Source organism: Homo sapiens, chromosome 5, assembly GCF_000001405.40.
Source record: "Homo sapiens chromosome 5, GRCh38.p14 Primary Assembly".
Taxonomy (NCBI): domain Eukaryota; kingdom Metazoa; phylum Chordata; class Mammalia; order Primates; family Hominidae; genus Homo; species Homo sapiens.
Window position 1 is genome coordinate 62,605,940 of NC_000005.10, and position 23,058 is coordinate 62,628,997.

Genomic DNA, 23,058 nt, shown 5'->3' on the forward strand with positions numbered 1-23,058 from the left:
AGGCTGGTCTCGAACTCTTAGGCTCAAGAGATCCTCCCTTGTCAGCCTTCCAAAGTGCCGGCATTACAGGTGTGAGCCACTCCACCCTCCCTATTTTTTCATATTATTACTTGGTTTTTTTTAAATGGGCAAATGAAAACTGTATGTATCTGTGGTGTACAACATGGTGTTTTAAAATATGTGTATATTGCAGAATGGCTGAATCAAGCTAATGAGCAAATCTGTTACCAGTTGAGCTCATTCAGAAAGAGAAAAGTTGGGCCAGGCGTGGTGGCTTATGCCTGTAATCCCAGTACTTTGGGAGGCCGAGGTGGGCAAATCGCTTGAGCCTAGGAGTTCAAGACCAGCCTGGGCAACATAGGTGAATCCTGCCTCTAAAAAAAAAAAAAATTTAGCTGGGCATGATGGCGTGCATCTGTAGTCCCAGCTACTTGGGAGGCTGAGGTGGGAGGATTGCTTGAACATGGGAGACGGAGGTTGCAGTGAGCCAAAATCATGCCACTGGTACTCCAGCCTAGACAACAGAACGAGACCCTGTCTTAAAAAAAAAAAAAAAAAAAAAAAAAAGGAGAACCCTTATGTCTCATTACAAACCACTGAAGTTAAAATGTGTGCGGCCGGGTACGGTGGCTCACGCCTGTAATCCCAGCACTTCGGGAGGCCGAGATAGGCAGATCACGAAGTCAGGAGATCGAGACCACCCTGGCTAACACAGTGAAACCCCATCTCTACTAAAAATACAAAAAAATTAGCCGGGCGTGGTGGCATGCGCCTGTAGTCCCATCTGCTGCATTATCATTTGAATGTGTTTTAAATTGAAACATATATATGGCAAACATAATCTGCAGCTTTACTTAGCTTTTTAATGCAATCAAGTATGTGTAGACTGCAGCTCTGGCAAGCTTGGCATCATAGTCTTTTGCCTAGGCTCCAGCATATGTAAGTAAACTATACGTTAGGTTGAGTTGCATTTTATTTGATGAATTTATAAGTACATCCTAAGTTTCATGCCAAATATAACAAATCCTGAGCATGGCTTTTGTACTGTCTTAGAGTGATTATTGTTTCTGTACTGCTCTTGCCAAATACTGTACTGGCTCAAGGATGGAGAACAGTGCTGCACTGTGAGGATGGAATTGTCCTGCAATCAGAGCCTACACATAGCTAACATTTTTCTCTTAGAGCACAGAGATATCTCCCTCATTTTCCCCTCCCTGCTTTCCCCTCCTTTACTCATCAACTCTGAAAACTTTCATTTTGTCTAACTTTTGGATCTAGAAGCTTTCTTTAGACTTGTACTTGTTAGAATTTAGAATACATCATCAAAAGGAAAGTGACACTGTTATGAGTTGAAACTATTTCATAAGGTTTTCTGGAAATCTTTATTCCAAATATAATGTCAACAGGGCACCCTGTGGTAGTGGCTTGGGGTGGGAGTTTTTAAACTCTCTCTGGATGATTTTGACCACTGAGAACCAGTAGATTGATTCTTTTGCCTGCTCCCATTTGCTTCTAGAAAACCTCAGCAGAACTACTATAAAGATAGAATTGTATTGGTACTGATAAGGTACTGTGTTGTTCTTAATTAAATATCAGTAATTTTTAATGTATGCATAAAATACATTTTCCTTTTGCAAATAATATGAGAATAATTCATCATCATATTGGTGGCTTCAGAACTGCCCTTTGAGAATCCTTACCTTATAGCATTCAGTAATCAAGATAAATTATAGCATTGTTGAAAATACTTTTTAGTATTCAGCTTACATGCAGTCCACCCAGGTTATGAGTTGAGAGACCTTTTTTCTTTTCTCAACTTGCGCAGTTAACATTTATCACTTCTAGTATCATGCCACATCTCTTTTTTTTTTTTTTGGAGAGTCTTACTCTGTCACCCAGGCTGGAGTGCAGTGGTGCTATCTCAGCTCACTGCAACCTGCTATCTCAGCTCACTGCAACCTCTGCCTCCCGGGTTCAAGCGATTCTCCTGCTTCAGCCTCCCAAGTAGCTGGGATTACAGGTGTGCACCACCACTGCTGGATAATTTTTGTATTTTTAGGTTAGAGACGGGGTTTCACCATGTTGGCCAGGCTGTTCCTGAACTCCTGACCTCAAGTGATCCACCCGCCTTGGCCTCCCAAAGTGCTGGGATTACAGGCATGAGCCACCACTCCTGGCCTCTCATGCCACATCTTGACCCCAAACCTTGAACTCCAACATTTCTCTCTCATCACAGTCTCTTCTTCCTTACTAATCATTCCTTTTCTTTTGGTAGATCTATTTTGAACTTTATCTGGAGCCCTACAATTTTTCCTTACTTTGTCCTCTTAAATCCTAGAGTACCATATTCTTTGCTGTTTTTACCTTTGGACAAGCTATAGCCCTCACCCTCTCTATTTCAGACTTACTGTATCTGGGGGCCTGGGAATCAGGCATACATATTTTCTAAAAGCTTCACATGTTCTTTTGGTATATAACCAGGGTTGAAAACCACTAGAATAAGAATTAAACCCCTTGACACTCTTTTAAGAAAGACCTCTGCAGTCTGCCTCCTTTTAAACTTTGTCCTGTATTCTCATTCTATCTCCTTCACTGGCTAAACCAAATGACTTGTCTCCACACGTTATATGGTTTCTGCCTCTATTACATGCTAGTCCTCCATCTGGAATAGCCCTTTTGTCCCTTTTCTCCCCACTGAGTTTTCTCATTTGCCATTTTAATTCCCATATATGCCGTGTCCCCCACATAGATGCAACCTCCCCCACTGTCCACATCCTGTACCACAGTGTTAAATTTGTTACAGCTGATGACCCTACATTGACACATCATCACTGACAATTGATAGTTTATGTTAGGGTTCACTCTGGTATTGTACATTCTATGGGTCTTAATAAATGTATAACGATGTGTATCCAACATTGTAGTATCATACGTAAGAGTTTCACTGCCTTCAAAATCCTGTGCTCTGCCTAGTCATCCCTCCCTCCCCTGAGCCCCTGGTGTTTTTACTGTCTCCATCGTTTTGTCTTTTCTGGAATGTTATGCAGTAGGACTCATACACTGTGTAGCCTCATATGATTTTTATTCAGAAAGTCAGCAGAGTGTGATGTTGCAGCTAATGTGTGTTGTCACTTGTCTGCTGGCTCACCATGTTGGTGTGGGGAAGCAGCTGGAACTGCACCAACTCCACGTCCTGCCAGATCCTCTCTAGCTTCTCTTACTTTAGAGCCAGGCACATGCCTAGTTTAATAATGAAGGCATTGGCTTCTCTTAGAAGATACCCCATCAGCAAAGTTGAAGACTTGGAAGTGATGAGAGGCTAAAGGGTGTTCCCATCTGTTCTTGTAGGTTCTACTCATTCTTGCAGTTTCACTTTGCCCTGTCCCTTGGGCCATATGACTTCAGGCTATAGCATCACCAGCACAAAAAGAAACAGCCTTCCATGGACTAGACGTTTAACTGGTTCTCACAGTCATGGAAGATCAAATCCCTATAATAAGGCCAAATATATGATTGATACAAGCTCCCTAGTGCCTAACAGCATGTATGATGTATATCAGGTGTTCAGCAAATGTTTGTTGAATGGATAAGTGACTGGATGGACCAATGAATGAATGAGAGACACAGTCCCTGCCCTCAAGGAGCTCCTAGACCAGTGTAGAGACAGAACTGAGATGTAGGGCTGACAACACAATTGTGTCATTTTGACATCTCTAGTGGAGCAGTCTGGAGAAGAGCTGGGCCTGCCCCTAGGCCTCCCAGTCACCAATGTCTTCCTGGTTTGAGTTTATGCTGGGTGAGGTGATGGGCACTTCATTAGACTGCCATGTTAGTTGGTGTCCCCAGGGGTCTGGGAGCACATAATTCAGTGTCCTAATGTCCAGCAGGTGACTGCAAGGGTTGCTTCTGAAAATGAGGTTCTAACTGTTGTGTGTCCAGGTGCTACAGCAAATATGAGGTCAACTCGTAGTCACATGTGTAGGTCTGCTTCTGGCGCCTGCTCCTGGGACCACATTGGATGTGGCTGTTGGCGATACTGTAATTGTAGCAGTCCCATTTAGGGAAGCACTGCCTAGCTCTCAGGAGGGAATAACAGCAGTCATGGGTGAGGCAACAACCAGTTGTTGGCATCCACCGGCTGCCTCTGGCCCACCAAACCACAGTGGCAGCCATAGATGAGGTACTTGTAATATTACTGGATATATTTTATCATACTGTTTGAGTGAATAAAAGCATAGGCTTGAATGCTATGTTAACCTGGTTAACATAGAGGTACTCATATTTGTTACTTTATTGCTTGCCATCTGATTATTTCTTTTTTCCTTCAAAAATTACTGAAATGATTTTGTTTTTTTCTTTATCCTTTGGCACAAGATGATCTTTACAAAGTTTGTAGATAGATAATAGGAAAAAGCCAGCTATATATTGAAAAGCAGTTTGAAAGATAGTGAATATAAATTATTGCTTCTCATTTTGCATTGAGAAGGCAATTTTACTATTAATTTTTATCCATGTGTCTGTCTTTTGGTTGTCACTGGTTTGTTGTCACTTACGTGTTGGTTATCACATATCACATATATTTGCACCAAATTTGGTTATCATAAGGCCCAGTTTATAAAAATGTGTGCAAATCCTCACACTCCATTCTTTTAAGACTTAACAAAATTAACAATATTAAAAGCATTTCTCTGTTTACTCTTAGTTAAGTAATCAAATAATCAAGTGATAATAATCAAATGATCAAGTAATCAAATAATCCTACCTGCTACCATTGCACAACTAAATATATAATGGCAATAGAACTAGCATCTTCAAAATGAATCTTTTTTTTTCTTCTGTATTCATTCCACATACATTTTTTAATGCTTACCATGTGAAAACCATTGATCTTTATAATCAGTACTTCCTCTGAGAACCTATCTTCTAGGGTATTTTGATCAACAGTACATACATAGTATTTTTAAAGTGTTAGATATCATTAACTTATTACCAGGCCAGTTTCTTAAAATGGAAAGATGTACTTGTTTTTATCTATGCTTTGCTCACATTCTACCTGCTTCTCTAAGTTTGATTAACTGACTGTTGTACTGCTGTTGATACATCCTTATTTTCATTTCTAGATGATACACTGAAACATACAAAAAGCCATTGTAGGACATATAACTTTACCTATAAATATTTCAAAATTGTAAACCAAACATAGCTTTCCTTATAAATGAGGCCCACAAGCTCAATGTTAAACTTATCTCAAGTATTAGAAATACACTGTGGTCATGGGTAATTCAGGTCCTAAAAAGTGCAGAGTTGAAAGTGACATTAAAACAATCCAAGAAGATAGGAAATAATGAATTGAAATAATCCAACTGAGATGCAATAAAGATACAAATTGATAACCAGGCATCCTAAGGTAGCAGTTCTTCCTGTGATAGAGCTAAAATGTTAATCAAAAAATAGTTTCAGATTATAGAGGTTAAGATCCTTCACAGTAGGCTACATAATAGTAATCAAAGACACTGGAAAAGAAAATTCCCTTGAAAATGCCTTTGGAACTAAATAAAGTGATGATAGTGATGGTTATTTTTTAGTTGAGATTTCAAATTAATTGCCTGCTGACGTCAGTATTGTTCTTGAGTATTGCATAGCAGACGGCCTCACTGTATCTCCCTTATTTACTTGAATTGTTACTAAAAACCTTAATTGTGATGAATTCAGTAACTTTGCCCCTGTTCACTTGGAAACGTTGGCAACATGGTATTGGCTCAAGGTAAATAAAATCTTCAGGTTTGTAAATGAAGAATGTGGTCTCATTTGGGAGAACTTTTTTAGTAACTTAGGTAACATGCCAGGGTACATTAGACTGCCTTCATGGCAGTTTTTCCTATTTCCTGTTTTTCTCTTCTGCTTCTTTTTCTCAATAAATTGTAGTACTTACTGTCTTTTAATATAAGGGACTTGTCTTTCAAGGGAAGAAAAATTAAGTAAACTTTTTGAAGAATTGTTCTGTATGTGGAAGTTGCCATTTTGAAGAAATTGATTTTTCATTATAAAAGTAACCTATACTAAAAACCACAAAATGAATGATATGTTGTGAAATAACATTCCCCTAGGTAACCTTTACTAACATTATGCGATAAGTCCTTCCAAATATTTTATATACATACATAAAATATATGATCTATATGTATTTTAAATGTTAAAATTACGTTACATTCTGTTCTGGTGCTTGATTTTTCTTAAATGAAGAACTGCATAATTCAGTGAACCAGTATTTTCCAAACGATCTGTGAGTACATGTTAAAAAAATCATTCAAAGGTAAAGATTTATTCAGAGAGTAAGACAGGCCAACGGATTTTAATGTGACAGAGAATGGGGGTCTATTGATATGGTTTCAGAGTTCTTTTAAGAAACTACTATTTGTGAGTTTCAGTGTAGTTTCAAAGAAGAATATCCAAAATGGTCAGCAAAGGCTGTTAAATACTACTCCATTTTCCAGCTGCATATCTGAGAAAGACTGGATTTTCTTTACTTTAACCAAAACACATAATGCAACAGATTGAATGCAGAAATAGATACGAGAATCCGGCTTTCATTTAAGCCACACATTAGATTTCCAAGTATGTAAAGCAGTGCCATTTTTCTCACTAAAGAGATATTTTTATTTTGAAAAATAGTTATTTATAAAAATTATATTAACATGTAATGGATTTATTGATATTTTAAAGTGAGTTGATAAGTATTTTTGAATTTTCTAATTTCTGATCCAGTAAATATTGGTAGATTTAACCCATATAAGCAAATACTTCTTGAGATCACCAATAACTTTTAAATGTAAAAATATTAAGGGCCTTGAGGCCAAAATGAGAAACTACTCTTGAAAGACATTGAGATTGTTTCCATTTTTCAGTTATTATAAGCAGCGCTTCAGTAAACAACATCAAGTGCTGTCTTTATGTACTTCTAAAAGTTTGTAAGTCTGTAGGAAAAATTCTTAGAAGTAGATATGCTGGGCTGAAGGATATGTGTTTTTGAAATAGTGATAGATTATACCAAATTGCCAATTTATGTGCTCAGGAGTGGTTCATGAGTCATCCTACAGTCTGATCAATGGGATAAGTAGAAAGCAGTGTTTTGTTGTTTAATGTACTTTTTCTTAATTATGAGTGAGACTAAGAATTTTTTAGATGTTTATAGCTCATTGATATTTTTTTGTTTGATGAATGGCTTGTTCATATTTCCCTCTCTCACACATTTTTTTACTGGACATTTTGTTTGATTATCTGATTTTAAATAAGAGTCCCATGGTAGATTTTATTTCCCAAGAATAGCCATAATAATATCTCCTATTCCACATGCTCTTCTTTTTTTTTTTTTTTTTTTTTTTGAGGCAGAATCTTATTTTCTCACCCAGTTTGGAGTGCAGTAGTGTGATCTGGCTCACTGCAACCTCTATCTGATGGGCTCAAGCCATCCTCCCACCTCAGCCCTCCAAGTAGCAGGGACTACAGGTGCACACCACCACACCTGGCTAATTTTCATATTTTTTGTAGAGAAGAACTTTTGCCATGTTGCCCAGGCTCGTCTTGAACTCCCAAGCTCAGGCAATCGGCCCGCCTCAGCCTCCCAAAGTACTGGGATTACAGGTGTGAGCCACCACGCCTGGCACACATGCTCTTCTTAAAAATGTGATTTTGACATTCTTCCTTATTGGCAGGTTGGGTCTATATTCCTTCCCTTTGAAACTGGGCAAATTTGCTGATAGTTTATGATTTCCCAAGTCTCGATTATAAGATAGAGCTTCCACCTGGTTCTCTAAGGACACTTGTACTTGGAAACCAGCCACCATACTATAAGGAAGCCCATAAATCCATAAGAAGTAGGCCTCATTTTCCCCATCTGAGATCCCAGTTGACAGCCAGCATTAACTACTAAACTCATGAATCAGTGACCCTTAAGATGATTCCAGCCCCCGAAGGGCCTGAGTCACCCCAAGCCTTCAAGTCTTCCCTGTGTATATCCTAGCCACTTTAATTAATTTTTGCATGAACCCTTGCAAGGTGAAATTACCTATGACAGACTTTAAAACAGCTGTGGTGCAGTTTTATCTTTATTTTCTTTTTCGCATGTGCATTGTGTGTGAACATCATATTAATCATCTGATTTTCTGGAGGTGTCTCCTTGGAATAAAGTACTTTAAAATAAAACACATAGAAAAGGAAAGCTTTTGGTATAGAAACTATTCAGATATTATTTATGACTTTCTTTGAACTTAACAAGAGTTGATTTCATCCCCACAATTGTCTTACTGAGCTGCAAGAAACCTGATGAGTTTCTTAACCTTATTCAAAATGGCTTTATGTCATTGTGTGAATTAAGTTGAGGTAACTTTTACATACAGACAAAGAGGAGGAAGGATCTTTGTTTAATAGTGGTTCTCAACTGGGTACTATTTTGCCCTGCTCCTCGCCCCTTCCCGCCAGCATTGTCATTACAGGACAGGGAAGTGCTGCTGGCAGTAATGGGTGGGAGCCAAGGCTGTTGCTAAGTTCTGCAGTACGTAGAACTGAAATGCTGAAGAGTTACCTGACCCGCCCCCCCTCACCCCGCAGGATATGCGACAGGGGTGTGACTCATCCACAAGTGCTCAAGCCCCTTATGGGAGGGTGAGCATGCAGACAGGTAGGTGCAGGAGCCAGGGCAAATACCCCTGGGCTCCAGCCCCATGACAACATCCAGAGGTGGTAGCCTGCAACTCCGAAAACCCAAGTGTGCGTGTGTGTGTGTGTGTTACAGTCCACTTTTAGCTTTGCTGTCTGCAGACAGCTTAAGCGTTAACCAGCTCAGTGCCCTCTTAGTACGCAGGTCCTTGTCTGGCATCCAGGAAGAATCAGGTCACACACAGACTTGAAGATGGTGAATGTGGGGGTTTTATTGACTGGTGGAGGTGGCTCTCAGTGAGCTGTATGGGGAGCTGGAAAGGGTATGGAGTGGGAAGATGATCTTTCCCTAGACTTTAGCCATCCAGTGGCCAATCTCCTTTCCTACCACCCCAGCCGAACTCCTATTGGCGTTCTGATGCTCCTCTTCTTCCTTCCCTGCTGTGCCATTCTGCTGTTCTGCTCTTCTTTTCTCCTTATGGAGCTGTGGATTGCGGTCTATATAGGTACAGGATAAGGGGGTGTGGTGGGCCGTATGGAAACTTTTGGGCATGAAAACAGGAGTGCCTGTTCCCATTTAGGGCCTCGAGTTTCCAGGCTTGAGGGTGAGGCCTTTGCCAGGGAACTGCCCTCTTCTACCCAGTATTTCCGTTTTCTGTCTGTGTCAGAACAACCCCCTCCAATAACAAAGAATTATCTACCCAATGTTTGATAGTCCCAAGTTTGAGAAACCCTGAATTTAAGCCACCCATGTTTTGTTGGTTTAGTTTTGAGTTTAGATTTTGCAAGTATAATTATCTTGTTTCACTGAGCAGTTGCAGGAGTATCATTCAAGAAGTATTTATTAGGTGCATACCATGTGCCAAAATAGTAGATGGCTTATAGAGGGCCTTGTATGCCATAAGTGTAGCAGACAGAATAATCCCTCTCATCCCCCAGGGATGTGCATGTCCTAATCCCTGGAACCTGTGAATGTGTTTCATGTATCAAAGAACAAAATTTCAACAAAGTGAGTTTCAAAGATTTAATTAGCTTTTATTAGTGATTCATGAATCAGGCAGCATCCAATCTGCAAAATAGATGGGAGCTCTGAGGAGGTGGCAGAAGAGTTGGTTTTTATAAGGTAACTTGAACAGGAACAAGGAAACAGCATAGTACAAAAAGTGGATTGGTTAACATTTGTTTACTTTCCTTGGATGGGCTAAGGGAAAGGGTGCTTCCTTATCCTATCTCAGGTTTATTGGGCCCCTTTTGATTGGTTACTGTGAATCTCAATTTTAGAAAACTGGCCTGTTTTTAAATTTTGTTTGATTACATGGCATCTAGCACAAGTGACTGCAATCTGGTTATTTAACACATGACAAAATGGAATTTGCTGATCAAAGATAGGTACATTTGGATTATCTAGATAGGAACATTTGTCATGACAAGTCATTAAAAGTGGAAGATGGGGTGGAGGGGGAGGTGGGGGAGGAAGGGGGGTGGCAGTGGTGCAGAACAGAGAGGAGGAGGAGCCAGAACAGAAAACAAAGAGAACATATTTCTGTTACTGTGGCCCAAGGACAGCTAACTGGCTATGTGGACATATCTATCTAACGGCATTATTATTCACTGAGTGGAAGCAGTTAATCTGTAGGTAGCTAAATGTTGATGGGCAGGGTGGGCAGGAGGAGAAAGTTGAGATCCCGTAGTAGGAAAATGCCAGGAAGCTTTCTTAGATGTGGCTAAGCACAATCTCAAATCTTTTCTTGCCAAAAGTTTTCTACTCTTTCTGAAGATTCCTCAATAAATCAAAATATAATCAAATAACATTTAAAAATATATATACATCTGATCTGTGATAAAAACCAATGAGATGGCCAGGTATGGTGGCTCACACCTGTAATCCCAGCACTTTGGGAGGTCGAGGCGGGTGGATCACTTGAGACCAGCCTGGCCACCATGGTGTGACCCCATCTATACTAAAAATACAAAAATCAGCTGGGCACGGTGGCATGCCCCTGTAGTCCCTGCTACTTGGGAGGCTGAGGCATGAGAATCGCTTGAACCTGGGAGGCAGAGGTTGCAGTGAGCTGAGGCTGTGCCCCTGCACTCCAGCCTGGGGCACAGGGTGAGACTCTGACTCAAAAAAAAAAAAAAAAAAAAAAAAAATCAGTGAGAGAACAGGATCTGCTTTAGAAAAATTAGCCTCATAGCCAAACTTGGTTTATTTAACAATTTTGCTCTGTCAGCAGATGGTCAAGATGGAAAATTTTTAGCCCCTTATTCATCTCCATCACATTTTGTCATTTCTATAAATTATTGATACACCATTTGATGAAATCAAATTTTTGAAAGAGATTGAGGACACTGACTGACCCATTATTAAACTTTCTTGCCTTTAAAGGTTCTCATTCAACATTTCCTCTTTATAGCACCTGCACTTTTCAGTCCTTCACCTGATACTTGACCTTGTTGAGCATTTTTATCAAGAGACTTGAGATTCTCATAAGATTTGCTCAGTGATCTTGCTTCTTGGAACCACAAAGGCAATTAGAACAATAAGGAGATACAAGGGAGCAGCTGTGTCCTATAGATGTTCATACTTGTTCAGATTTCTCAGTCCCTGTAATAAAAATGTAGACAGAAATAAATGATATTCAGAAAACTCGGCATATCCATGACATTTAGATTTCAAATAGAAATCTCATCTGATTTTTCCTCACAGTTTATCTTCTTTCCATTCTCTGAATCACCTGGTGTCCACATATAATAGGAACAATGTATTAATTCACATGTTTGGTTTTATAGTATATTCTCTCCCATAGTGGACAAACAGGAATATTAATTATATTTCTGAGAGGGAAGTAATAGAATTAAAGGCAGTGCTGGATAGTGGCACTTTTAGATATCTAGCAGTCTGTTATTTTCTAATTTAGTAACATTAATGTGCCATAGCACACCCCTAAATATTCTATTACACTTTGTTATGTAGCCATTTTACTTTAATGACAATAAGATGAATGGAAGGAAAACAATTCCCTATTATTTAATTTAGTTATATATTAAAGTTGATTTTTTTTTTAATGTAAAGAGTTCGCCCCATTGCTGGAAACTGAATGGAGACAGTCCTAAATTGCACTGCCAAAACTGAGTTATAAGTAGAAATGCTTTTATAAAACATGTAAGAAATTATCTCAAAAAGCAACATAGTTTTATAGGATTCTAAAAATACATGTAAGATTATAACATTTTTATTGGTGCAAAATTTATCTTATTTTCCTACACATTTTCTTTTTGTGATAGTAAGTCTTCCCCACAGCCTTCTGTATAAACTGATGCTAAGGATAGCCTATGGTAGTCTTGTGAGCCTATGTTTAGTTGAGCTTAAGATGATCTAGTGGGTGTATAGTGACAGATCTGAACAATATGATCAGGAAACTTAATATCTATATATAAAAATTCTACTCTATAAGTAGAATATGTAAGTGTTCATGAAACATTTACAAAAACTGAGCATATTCTAGGCTAACAAAGAAAATCCCTGGTTTCTTAGAACAGAAATAGTACAGGTTAAATTATCTGACCACATTAAAGTAAAACCAGGTATTACACAAAGGTTGAGAGAAATATTGGTTTCATAAAGTTTTTTAAACAGTATTTTAAAGGGGAAGCTTGAAATTTTGAAGTAGATGACATACAACATTGAGATTGTTACACATAAAAACATGGGAGCAAAACTTAATTATTCCTAACCTTAAGTAATTTTATTATACAAGAATAAATGAAAATAAATGAACTCTACTTATGTCAAGATGTGAAAAAAAGGAAAAATACAGACATTAGAAAAAATCAGCCTTAGAAAAATAGAAGACATTAATAATTTTAAAAATTAGAAGACAGAAAAGTACTAAAATTGATGAATAAGTATTGTTTGCTTGTTCTTCTTCTTAAAAAACCCACAGAATAGATAAACCTGGCCAATTTAATCAAGGGGTGGAAGAATAAACATAAAATATTAGGGATAAGAAGGCATATAATATGGCTTCAGGTATTGTACATGCAAGTCTAGGCTAATCAATGGAAAAATCTTTTCAGGACAGTTTTCCCATATTAATTTTACCAAAAAAAAATTAAAAATAAACTTAGGACCTGATAGAAATAGATTTATAACCACGGAACAAAAAATTAGCCGGGCACAGTGGTGGGCGCCTGTAGTCCCACCTAGTCGGGAGGCTGTTTTAAATTGCCTCCTTCCCCCCAAAAGCCCCTCTCCTCAAATGTTTCTTGCTTGCTCATTGCAAGTGGTTTTACCAGAATGTACTATCAGTCTTTTTTTTTATGTAGTTTAATTCATTTAATATTACTAATGACAGGCCGGGCTGGGTGGCTTACGCCTGTAATGCCAGCACTTTGGGAGGCTAAGGCAGGTGGATCACTTGAGGTCAGGAGTTCAAGACCAGCCTGGCCAACATGGTGAAACCCCATCTCTACAAAAAATTAGCCAGGCATGGTATTGCACGCCTGTAGTCCCAGCTCCTTGAATTTGAATGGCTGAGGCAGAAGACTTGCCTGAACCCAGGAGGCGGAGGCTGTAGTGAGCCAAGATCTCACCACTGCACTCCAGCCTGGGAGACACAGCGAGACCCTGTTTCTAAAATGAAAAATTACTAATGACATTCTTTTAGCAATAGCTTGTCTTTCCACACTTCTTTCTTCTTTTGTTCCTCCATCCCTCCCTTCCTTTCTTCCTTTGTATCCTATTTTAAAGAATAGATCATTCTATGCTAGTTCAACTATTCTAGAACCTAGAAAAAAGAATAAAAAGAATAGATGGCTTTTTAAAATAAAAATAGATGCAAAAAATGTAAATTACTATCAGCAAATTTGATCTAACATTAAATTTAACATTTATTCCTGGTAAAATTTCTTATTGAAATAGGAATAGAATATTATGTCTTTACCATGATAAAATATCTGTTTGAAACTGCACAAACAGGCCGGGCGTGGTGGCTCACGCTTGTAATCCCAGCACTTTGGGAGGCCGAGGCAGGCGGATCACGAGGTCAGGAGCTCAAGACCATCCTGGTTAACACGGTGAAACCCTATCTCTACTAAAAATACAAAAAATTAGCCGGGCACGGTGGTGGGCGCCTGTAGTCCCACCTAGTCGGGAGGCTGAGGCAGGAGAATGGCGTGAACCCAGGAGGGTGGAGTTTGCAGTGAGCTGAGCCGAGATTGCGCCACTGCACTCCAGCCTGGGTGACAGGGCGAGACTCCACCTCAAAAAAAAAAAGAAACTGCACAAACATACCACTGGATAGTGAATATTCTAAATGCCAGAAAATTCTGTCTTCTGTAACAGACCTCTGGAATCTCAACTTAATGTAATAGTTTATTGCTCAGGAAAAACACAAGAGAGGCAGGAGCAGGAGTGGGTCTTGAAATCCGCAGTCTTTAAGGGATGATCCTGTCAACAAAAAGAGTCATACTCTGTAAAATATTTTAAGAGATTTATTCTGAGCCAAATGTGAGTGACCATGGCCTGTGATATAGGCCTCAGGAGGTCCTGAGAACATGTGCCCAAGGTGGTTGGGATACATCTTGGTTTTATACATTTTAGGGAGACGTGAGACTTCAGTCACATGCATTTAAGAAATACAGGGCTGGGCGCGATGCCTCACGCCTGTAATCCCAGCACTTTGGGAGGCCGAGGTGGGCGGATCACGAGGTCAGGAGATTGAGACCATTCTGGCTAACACGGTGAAACCCCATCTCTCCTAAAAATACAAAAAGTTAGCCGGGTGTGGTGGCGGGTGCCTGTAGTCCCAGCTACTCGGGAGGCTGAGGCAGGAGAATGGCATGAACCCGGGAGGCGGAGCTTGCGGTGAGCCAAGATTGTGCCACTGCACTCCAGCCTGGGCAACAGAGCGAGACTCTGTCTAAAAAAAAAAAAAAAAAAAAAAATACATTGGTCCAGAAAGGTGGGACAAAATGTAGAGGCAGGAGGCTTTCAGATTATTGGTAGATTTAAATTTTTCTGGTTGACAGTTGGTTGAGTTTTTCTAAAGACCTGGAGTCAATAGAAAAGAAATGTCTGGGTTGTGGAGACCAAAGTTTTATCATGCAGATGAAGCCTCCAGGTGGCAGGCTTCAAAGAGAATAAATTATAAATGTCTCTTATCAGACTTAAGGTCTGTGTTGATGCTAATACTGGAGAGGTATAATGAGGCACATCTGCTTGCCATCATGGCCTGAAGCAGTCTTTCAGGTTAAATTTTAAGAGTGTCCTGGCCAAAGAGGAAGTCCATTCAAACGGATGGTGGGTGGCGGAGGGCCTTACAATTTTATTTCTGGTTTACAATCGAGACTTATTGAAATGCATGGCTTCAACACATGGCTCTGTCTAGCAGGAAAACTGTGAAAAAGAATGAGTACGAGTAGTTTAAGAGTTAGGTTGAATAATGGCACTTATCATTTCTGCTCACATTCCATTGGCTGGAAATGTGGTCTGTGTGGCCTAGGAAAAAGAGTAAAAGAGTTTGATGATGATGATACAATGGTCTGTTACGCAGAGTTTCTAGCCAATGCGATGAGAAGAGAGTCTATGTAAGTTTTAAGTATTGGCAAAGAAGAGACGAAATTCAGAAGTCATTGTAATGATAATGTTGTAGTAAAAACCAGGTTCTTGTCACACGACCAGGAAGGATTAGGCTGGCAGACACTTTGAAGGGCGAGGGGGAACAGAATTATTGGGCAAAAATGGAAAAAAACTCAGCAAAGTGACAGGGGTACCTGTTAACAGGTCCCCATCTCGCAGATTGAATCTCAGGTTACCACACAGGAACAGGAGAGGCCAGGCTCCTCCCCCTGCAAATGGGGCATACATTTCCCAAGGCTCCACCCTGTCCTCCCACGGAGCAGGCGGGTTAGAGATTCTCCCAGACCTGCAGTCCGTTTTTCGGCCTTCAGGCTGTTTTAGGCTTGAAGGCTGGGTTTAAGGGGGAAGGGGAGTGGGGCCTTGGCTGCCTCCTGTCTCTGTCAGTAATTTAAGCCAGGAAAGTCCCTAAGAAGATCAACAGATCAACTATGAAGAGAATTTAATAAGTGATAATTATATATAAATGTATGTTGCTGTTATATGCTAGCAATAACTAGTTAGGAAAAGCAGGCTAAATGAACGTCTTTTACAAATTTGAATCTCATTTACCCTGTGATTTGAGGAATCCTTTGGAATTCAGGAAACAAAAACCAAAATCAAGAAGCGCACTAAACTTTTGGACAGTGGAGGAGTCAAACAATGATTAAAAAAAAAAGTCATCAACATTTCCTAGTATGCACACAGTAAAGTAAAACTCCCTCAAAATTGCCTCAGTGAGTCTAAAGGAGAAAGGAAACCTGAAAGGTTTCTGGCAAGTAATGGTAAATGGGTTTAAGTTTAAAGAGCTTGTAATTAGTAGCTGAAGGGTTTTTTTTTTCTTTTAAGTGTTACATGTTTTCTTTAGCCTGTTGTCTATATTCTTTTATTTTAATGCATATGGAAATACCTGTAGATGTTTTATTGTGTTTTCTTGAGAGGTTAGGCCTCAAAACGCTTGGCCCACGTTTTTCTGTAGCAGTGCTTCTTATTTTTGGATGTATATCACGATCACTTGGGGAGCTTTTAAATATTCTGGTACCTGAAACTACTTAAAATCAGAATCACTAGGAGTAGGACTTAGACATCAGCATTTTTTAAAGTTCCCCAAATGATTCCCTTATGCTGCCAAGTGAAGAACTATTGTATAAAGATTTGTTGTGACTTTGCTGAGGCTTCCCTTTCCTCCTTTATTCTTATTGTTAGTTTTAAATGAAATTATATATGTGAATGGCCTACCCTGTACCTAGCAGAAGCCTTGCTTGTGATTGGAGTTTAGTAAATGTGGATATTGTATTTTGATTCCCATTTAATTGCTCTGAAGATGATTGCATATTGAAACGTGAAGAAATAAGCAGATGTTCTGTTGCTCAGATCTAGGTTTGAAATAATTACTTTGTCTAATTGCTTGAGTTGTGTTTCTGTCAAGTTTACTCTCAGAGATTTAAATAAAGCACACTGCAGTAAAGGCATACTAGAGTAAGAATGCCCAAGTAATAATGGTCAAGGACTAATAGAAAGAAAAATAATTATGTCAGGAAACCTAGCTTACAAGGTAATTGCTAAATTGGAATTTTAATTTGTTCACTGAGACATGTATGTATATACGGTTATTTTTATCTCATGAAGTCTAGATCCCAGTGTTTCTAGACATAGCAATGTAAAATAGTTCCTTTACTTACAAGCTGGTCATTTAGAAATTGTATTCCAAGCTTCTCAAAGGACAGATTGGGTTTTACAGTGGGTATAGTTTGATGATTGAGCTTGTATTGCTGCGCCCTGTTGATTAAGTGGGTTCTGATTGGTATCTGCTGGACTCATACTCTTCATTAAGCCACAGAGTTAGGAGAGTTTATATCCAACAGATCTTAGAAACTTAGTTATTTTAGATATATTTCAGAAATTGACAGTTATCTGCAGCAAAACAATTAGTCAGAAAAGAAGGGAATTTTTAAACCAAAGATAATTTAATTAAGGAATTTTTGAAGACCACATGGTTAAATACATTGTTGTAGATCAATTTTCCTTTAAGATTTTTTGGCCTGTTACATACCTAGTGTATTTATATGTCTCCTACCAAGTTTCATGGAAAGGAAGCCTGAATATATTATTATTCTTAAAAAATGTTCTACATTTCTAAGTGACAAAAATTAAATTCAAATTTAGCAATTATTTAGTATTTTTCTAGGATGGAAAACACTTTAGCAAAATTCAATAGGAAATTGTTACCAGAAAGCAGTCCTGATCCAGATCCCAAGAGAGGGCTCTTGGATCTCACACAAGAAAGAATTCAGGTTGAGTCCATAGAGTGAAGTGGAAGCAAGCTTATTAAGAAATACAGGAATAAAAGAATGGCTACTCCATAGGCAGAGCAGCCCCGAGGGCTGCTGGCTGGCTATTTCTATGGGTATTTCTTTCTTTCTTTCTTCTTTTTCTTTTTTTTTTTTTTTTTTAAGACAGAGTTTTGCTCTTGTTGCCCAGGCTAGAGTGCAGTGGCACAATCTCGGCTCACTGCAGTCTCCGCCTCCCGAGTAGCTGAGTTTACAGGCACATGCCACCATGGCCAGCTAATTTTTTGTATTTTTCTAGTAGAGATAGGGTTTCATTGTATCATGTTGGCCAGGCCAGTCTCAAACTCCTGACCTCAGGTTATCCACCCGCCTCAGCCTTCCAAAGTGCAGGGATTACAGGCGTGAGCCACAATGCCCGGCCTTTTATGGGTATTACTTGATTATATGCTAAACAAAGGATGGATTGTTCATGAGATTTTTTGGGAAGGGGTGGTCAATTCTTAGAACTGAGGGTTCCTCCCCCCACCGTTTTTTTTGTTTTGTTTTTTTTGAGACAGAGTTTTGCTCTTGTTACCCAGGCTGGAGTGCAATGGCATGATCTCAGCTCACCACAACCTCCACCTCCCGGGTTCAGGCGATTCTCCTGCCTCAGTCTCCCAAGTAGCTGAGATTACAGGCATGCACCACCATGCCCAGCTAATTTTGTATTTTTAGTAGAGACGGGGTTTCTCCATGTTGGTCAGGCTGGTCTCAAACTCCTGACCTCAGGTGATCTGCCCACCTCAACCTCCCAAAGTGCTGGGATTACAGGCATGAGCCATGGCATCCAGCCAGTTCCTCCCCTTTTTAGACTATATAGGGTAACTTCTGGATGTTACCCTATACGTTACCCTACAAATACCACCATGGCATTTGTAAACCGTCATGGTGCTGGTGGGATTGTCTTTTAGCATGCTAATGCATTATAATTAACATGTAATGAGTGAAGATGACCACAGGTCACTTTTGTGGCCATCTTGGTTTTGGTGGGTTTTAGCCAGCTTCTTTACCGCAACCTATCTTATCAGCTAGGTCTTTATGACCTGTATCTTGTGCTGAACTCCTATCTCATCTTATGACTTAGAATGTCTAACGTCCTGGGAATGCAGCCCAGTAGGTCTCCACCTTATTTTATCCAGCCCCTATTCAAGATGGAGTTGCAGGCCGGGCACGGTGGCTCAGGCCTGTAATCCCAGCACTTTGGGAGGCTGAGGTGGGCGGATCATGAGGTCAGGAGATCGAGATCATCCTGGCTAACAGGGTGAAACCCCGTCTCTACTAAAAATAAAAACAATTTAACTGGGCATAGTGGCAGGCACCTGTAGTCCCAGCTACTCGGGAGGCTGAGGCAGGAGAATGGCGTGAACCCAGGAGGCGGAGCTTGCAGTGAGCCGAAATCGCGCCAGTGCACTCCAGCCTGAGCGACAGAGCGAGAGACTCAAAAAAAAAAAAAAAAAAAAGATGGAGTTGCACCGGTTCAAAGGCCTCTGACAAAACAACTTTACAGTAAGTAGTTTCTGAAAAATTATAATTGGGCATATAGGCTTAAAAAGTGAATAATGACATATGCCACATAACAAGGAAAATGAAAGATTTTGATTCACTAAATTCTTGCTGGGTGAAATTGCTTATTAATGTAGTGAAATATAATGGGAAACTTTGTTTCAAGGAATAGAAATCTCAAAAAGAAATTTGTAAGTAGCCCCACAGAAACTAAAATCTTGAACCACTTTAGAAGACTACTTCATAGGTTGAAGCATATGTCAAAAGGCTGTCATTACCAACAGAGGGAACTGCTGATACACACTTCAACTAGAACCATTCTGTCTTAGAGTAATAATTTTAAAATTAAGCAATACTGAGCCACGTGCTCATTAAAATCCGATGTGTAGACTTTAGAAGTGAATCTGGCTATTAACACTTCATTTATCTGGTGTTACCCCAGAGTCAGGAATTCTGGGTAATTATCTCTTGCTAATGACTGAAGCTTCTGAAGGTTCCTAATTTTATCTTAACTATTTCAATGGAAATACTTCTTAAATGATCACATACTTTCTTAGAAGCCAAGAGCATATGGAAGTAATGGAAAGAGAACAAAACCAGGAATTTTTCCGATCTATATTCTAGTTGTGATGAAGTCATTAACTTGAGAAAAACTAACCTTGAATGTCATTCAGAGCTTGGAGACATCAGCTTTTATCTCAAAATTGAACACAGGCCTAGCTGCTTAGAAATTCTATTATTAGACACTTATATAAGCTAATACATAAGATGAGATGTCAGTTGTAGAGTGGTTTGTCCTTATACCAAATGGCCACAGAGGGGTATACTTTTCTAATTGCTGAGTCCATTTTTTAGAGTAATCTTCTTAATTTGGAATACTTTTAGGTTTACAGGAAAGTAACAAAAATAGTACAAAGAGTTCCCATGTGCCCCTCACCCAGTTTTTCCTAATGTTAACATTGTATGTTACATTTTTCTTTCCTCTTCTTTTTCTTTTTTTTTTCGAGACGGAGTCTCGCTCTGTCACCCAGGCTGGAGTGCAATGGCACGATCTCAGCTCACTGCAACCTCCGCATCCCAGATTCAGGCGATTCTCCTGCCTCAGCCTCCCAAGTAGCTGGGACTACAGGCGTGCACCACCACGCCAGGCTAATTTTTGTATTTTCAGTAGAGACGGGGTTTCACCATATTGGCCAGGCTGGTCTCGAACTCCTGACCTTGTGATCTGCCTGCCTCAGCCTCCTAAAGTGCTGGGATTACAGGCATGAGCCACCGAGCCTGGCCCTACATTTTCCAAATATACATGGTACATTTATCAAAATTAAGAAACCAACATCGGTGCATTATTATTAAGTAAACTCCAGACTTTTATTTAGATTTTACCAGTTTTTCCGGTAACACTCTTGGTTGCAGGATTCAATCGGGTATATCACACATTGCACTTAGCCTGGGTCCAGGTGTGTTTTATGTATATGTATGTATGTGCATACCACAGGGATAGAAGAAGCCAAAATATTTTCTTTTGTCATTGTTATCTTTAAGGAGTGGACTTCTGGGTTATTTTTCATGAAATTACACTCCTTTTGTTTTCCAAATATCCCAGTGGGAGACGAGGAGTCCCTTTTTTTTTTTTTTCAGCCAGAAGCATATACAGGAATTTAAATAGTATTGCAATCCAGGGTAGGGCAAACACTGTCTCCTTTCTCGATCCTGAGGGCATCACTGGGTTGCCACAGTGGCCTACCCTACCCTATCTTCCTAAGGAGAATGCTGGACAATTGTATTTAAATGTTCTTCAGCATGTTCTGTTTCTTTTAGAATGCTTTCTACTAGGCTTTGATGCTTTAAATGAATGAGTCCCCCAGCTCTTGAGAAATGCCTGATCAGAAAACATGTTCAGGGGGCGCTAGGGAACTGAAGTTAAGACTAATTGAATGAAATTTTCTTTGACAGATTTTTCCACCATGAGATTAGTACAGAATCTGTGTGAGAAGAGAGGCAGAAGCAATTTTGTTACTGTAGAAGAGATTACAAAGAACTTTTGTAAATTGCAGGTAGGAGAGACTTGTTTTGCTTTTTTGACAGTCTTGCTCCTCTCTGTATCCCACAGCTGGCCCTGAAGGACCCTGTTCATACAGTGTCACTGCAGCAGTTCATCTACGAGAAGCTCAAGGCACAGCAGGAGATGCTAGGAGAACAAGGTTTCCAGTCCCTCATGGAAACAGTGGATACGGAGATTGTCACCCAGCTACAGGAGTTTTTGCAAGGATTCTAAGAGCACATGACATGTGGCTGCCTCCCCTTTCAGAAACAAGCTGAGTAACCCAGCCTGCCGTTTGTATGTGAGAGCCTGCTGAGATGAAGAAATCACTTCATGAAAATAAGCAAAGACCACACATTTTTTACTACAAAATGTAAAGGATAAATGTAAATCCTGCATAACTAAAATCACAAACCTATTCCTCAAAAGAATTTAATTTTATATTTATGAGGGGGCCCTTCACTAAAAAGTACATGTAAAAGTACATTTGATGACAATAGCTGCTTAGTTTCCTGTTAAGAGAAGAAACTTTATCTTTTAATTATGTGCTCTTAATATTTGAAGATGAGAGTTAATACCTGAGATGTTTTTCTGCAACCAAAATTCATTAAATTTGGCTGCCTTATCCTTTTTTTAAGCTAATGAAACTACAGGTTTGAAAAATGACAAAGCTGTTCAGATGATGCTATTAAAGAAATGTGTGTACTAAGCAAAAATATATAAATAGTGACAAATACACATTACCAAGCTTATCTTGCAAGGGAGTTATTTTCATCTAACATAGAAAGTGTGTTTTATCAGACAAATGCTTTTATTTTCATTCTAATAATTTGATACAGAAATTAGTAAAGGCATTTTTTTCTTTTTTTTTCCAGTAAATACATTGGGTCTATAAATGTGCATTTGTAAGGGCCACAAAAGTGAACGTGTGGTACTGTAGTACCACGTGGGAGACCTCTGGTTATGGTTTAGTCCTAGTTCCTTTGTTACTCCTGTGAGCACCGAGAAGAACTGGGCGACTCCCAGTCCCACCTGTGCTGTGACAGTCCCACGTGGCTATGACAGACTGTTTAGTACTTACCCTTCTCAGGTTCCTCAGTGCAGGGGTGCATCAGGGCCTCAATAATAGGGGTATACCTGGGAGGATCCAGCAGTAATCCCCAGGGTACTAGGATTACTAGTACTCTGATGGAACTAGTCTTCCTTCCTTATTCCTCGAACATGCAGTACATAAAAAGGGGAAAAGGAGAAAAAAAAAGCCTTACTTTGTTTTACTTGCCATTTATTGTAAGGAAACTTTAAAGCATTTTTTAGGAAATACTCAAAAGCAAGGTTGGAAAATGTTTTATCTTTCTATAGAAAGTTGGGTACAGTATGTAACTGCGGGAAACCCACTGCCCCTTTGTAAGCTGTGGAACCCAAACTGTATGGGGATATTTGATGTTTTCAGAAAGAGGAAGAAAATATGGTCCAAATTAAATTTTCCAAAGATACCTCACCTTGGACTGATTTGTCTGACTACTTTTCTTGCTCCCCCCAAAAAATGAGTTCTTAAAAATTGCCCAGTGACTTATAGAGAATTTTCTTTTATACTCTAGCTTTGATTCTGTGCTAGTAGGTATCAGTATTGCAGGTGGCAAATCCTAGTTACCCTTTTAATTTATCTTCATTTAAAGACAAAAAGCTCCTTTCAAGTGATATTTCTTTATCAGTATTACTCAGTCCTGAAGACTGATCCAAGAAGAATTTCTTTTTGTTGACTTAATTATTTTCATTTGAAACACTAACTCATTAGTGTTATCAGAAATTCTCAAACATGCTCATTTTTCAGTTATAGTAAAGTACTCATCCTTCTAATTCCTGACAGATTTCATTATAGTGCCATACCAAATATTACTGAAATAGCTACCTTG

The 23,058-nt window shown here is 39.4% G+C and overlaps 1 protein-coding gene and 1 long non-coding RNA gene across 3 annotated transcripts in view, besides 1 other annotated feature; both read left to right on the top strand.

Moving 5' to 3' along the window:
- The window catches only part of IPO11 (importin 11), a 215,820-nt gene extending 193,177 nt beyond the window's left edge, over positions 1-22,643 (top strand). For both annotated transcript variants that reach the window (NM_016338.5, NM_001134779.2), the window contains exon 30: positions 21,215-22,643. In NM_016338.5, coding sequence (NP_057422.3) covers positions 21,215-21,379 — 165 coding nt within the window. In that variant the 3' untranslated portion in view covers positions 21,380-22,643. The remainder of the gene's footprint in view (positions 1-21,214) is intronic.
- IPO11-LRRC70 (IPO11-LRRC70 readthrough) overlaps positions 1-22,650 on the top strand; it is a 49,855-nt gene extending 27,205 nt beyond the window's left edge. The window contains exon 4 of the long non-coding RNA NR_073584.1: positions 21,215-22,650. This is a non-coding gene — a long non-coding RNA (IPO11-LRRC70 readthrough). The remainder of the gene's footprint in view (positions 1-21,214) is intronic.
- Positions 4,087-4,205: a silencer, noted in NCBI's record as "fragment chr5:61905853-61905971 (GRCh37/hg19 assembly coordinates)". NCBI's record gives its function as "represses an EF-1alpha promoter that drives an FKBP-Casp9 reporter gene in an ReSE screen in HepG2 liver carcinoma cells {active_cell/tissue: HepG2}" and the evidence as "EXISTENCE:reporter gene assay evidence [ECO:0000049][PMID:32094911]".
- Positions 22,651-23,058: the final 408 nt, after the last annotated feature.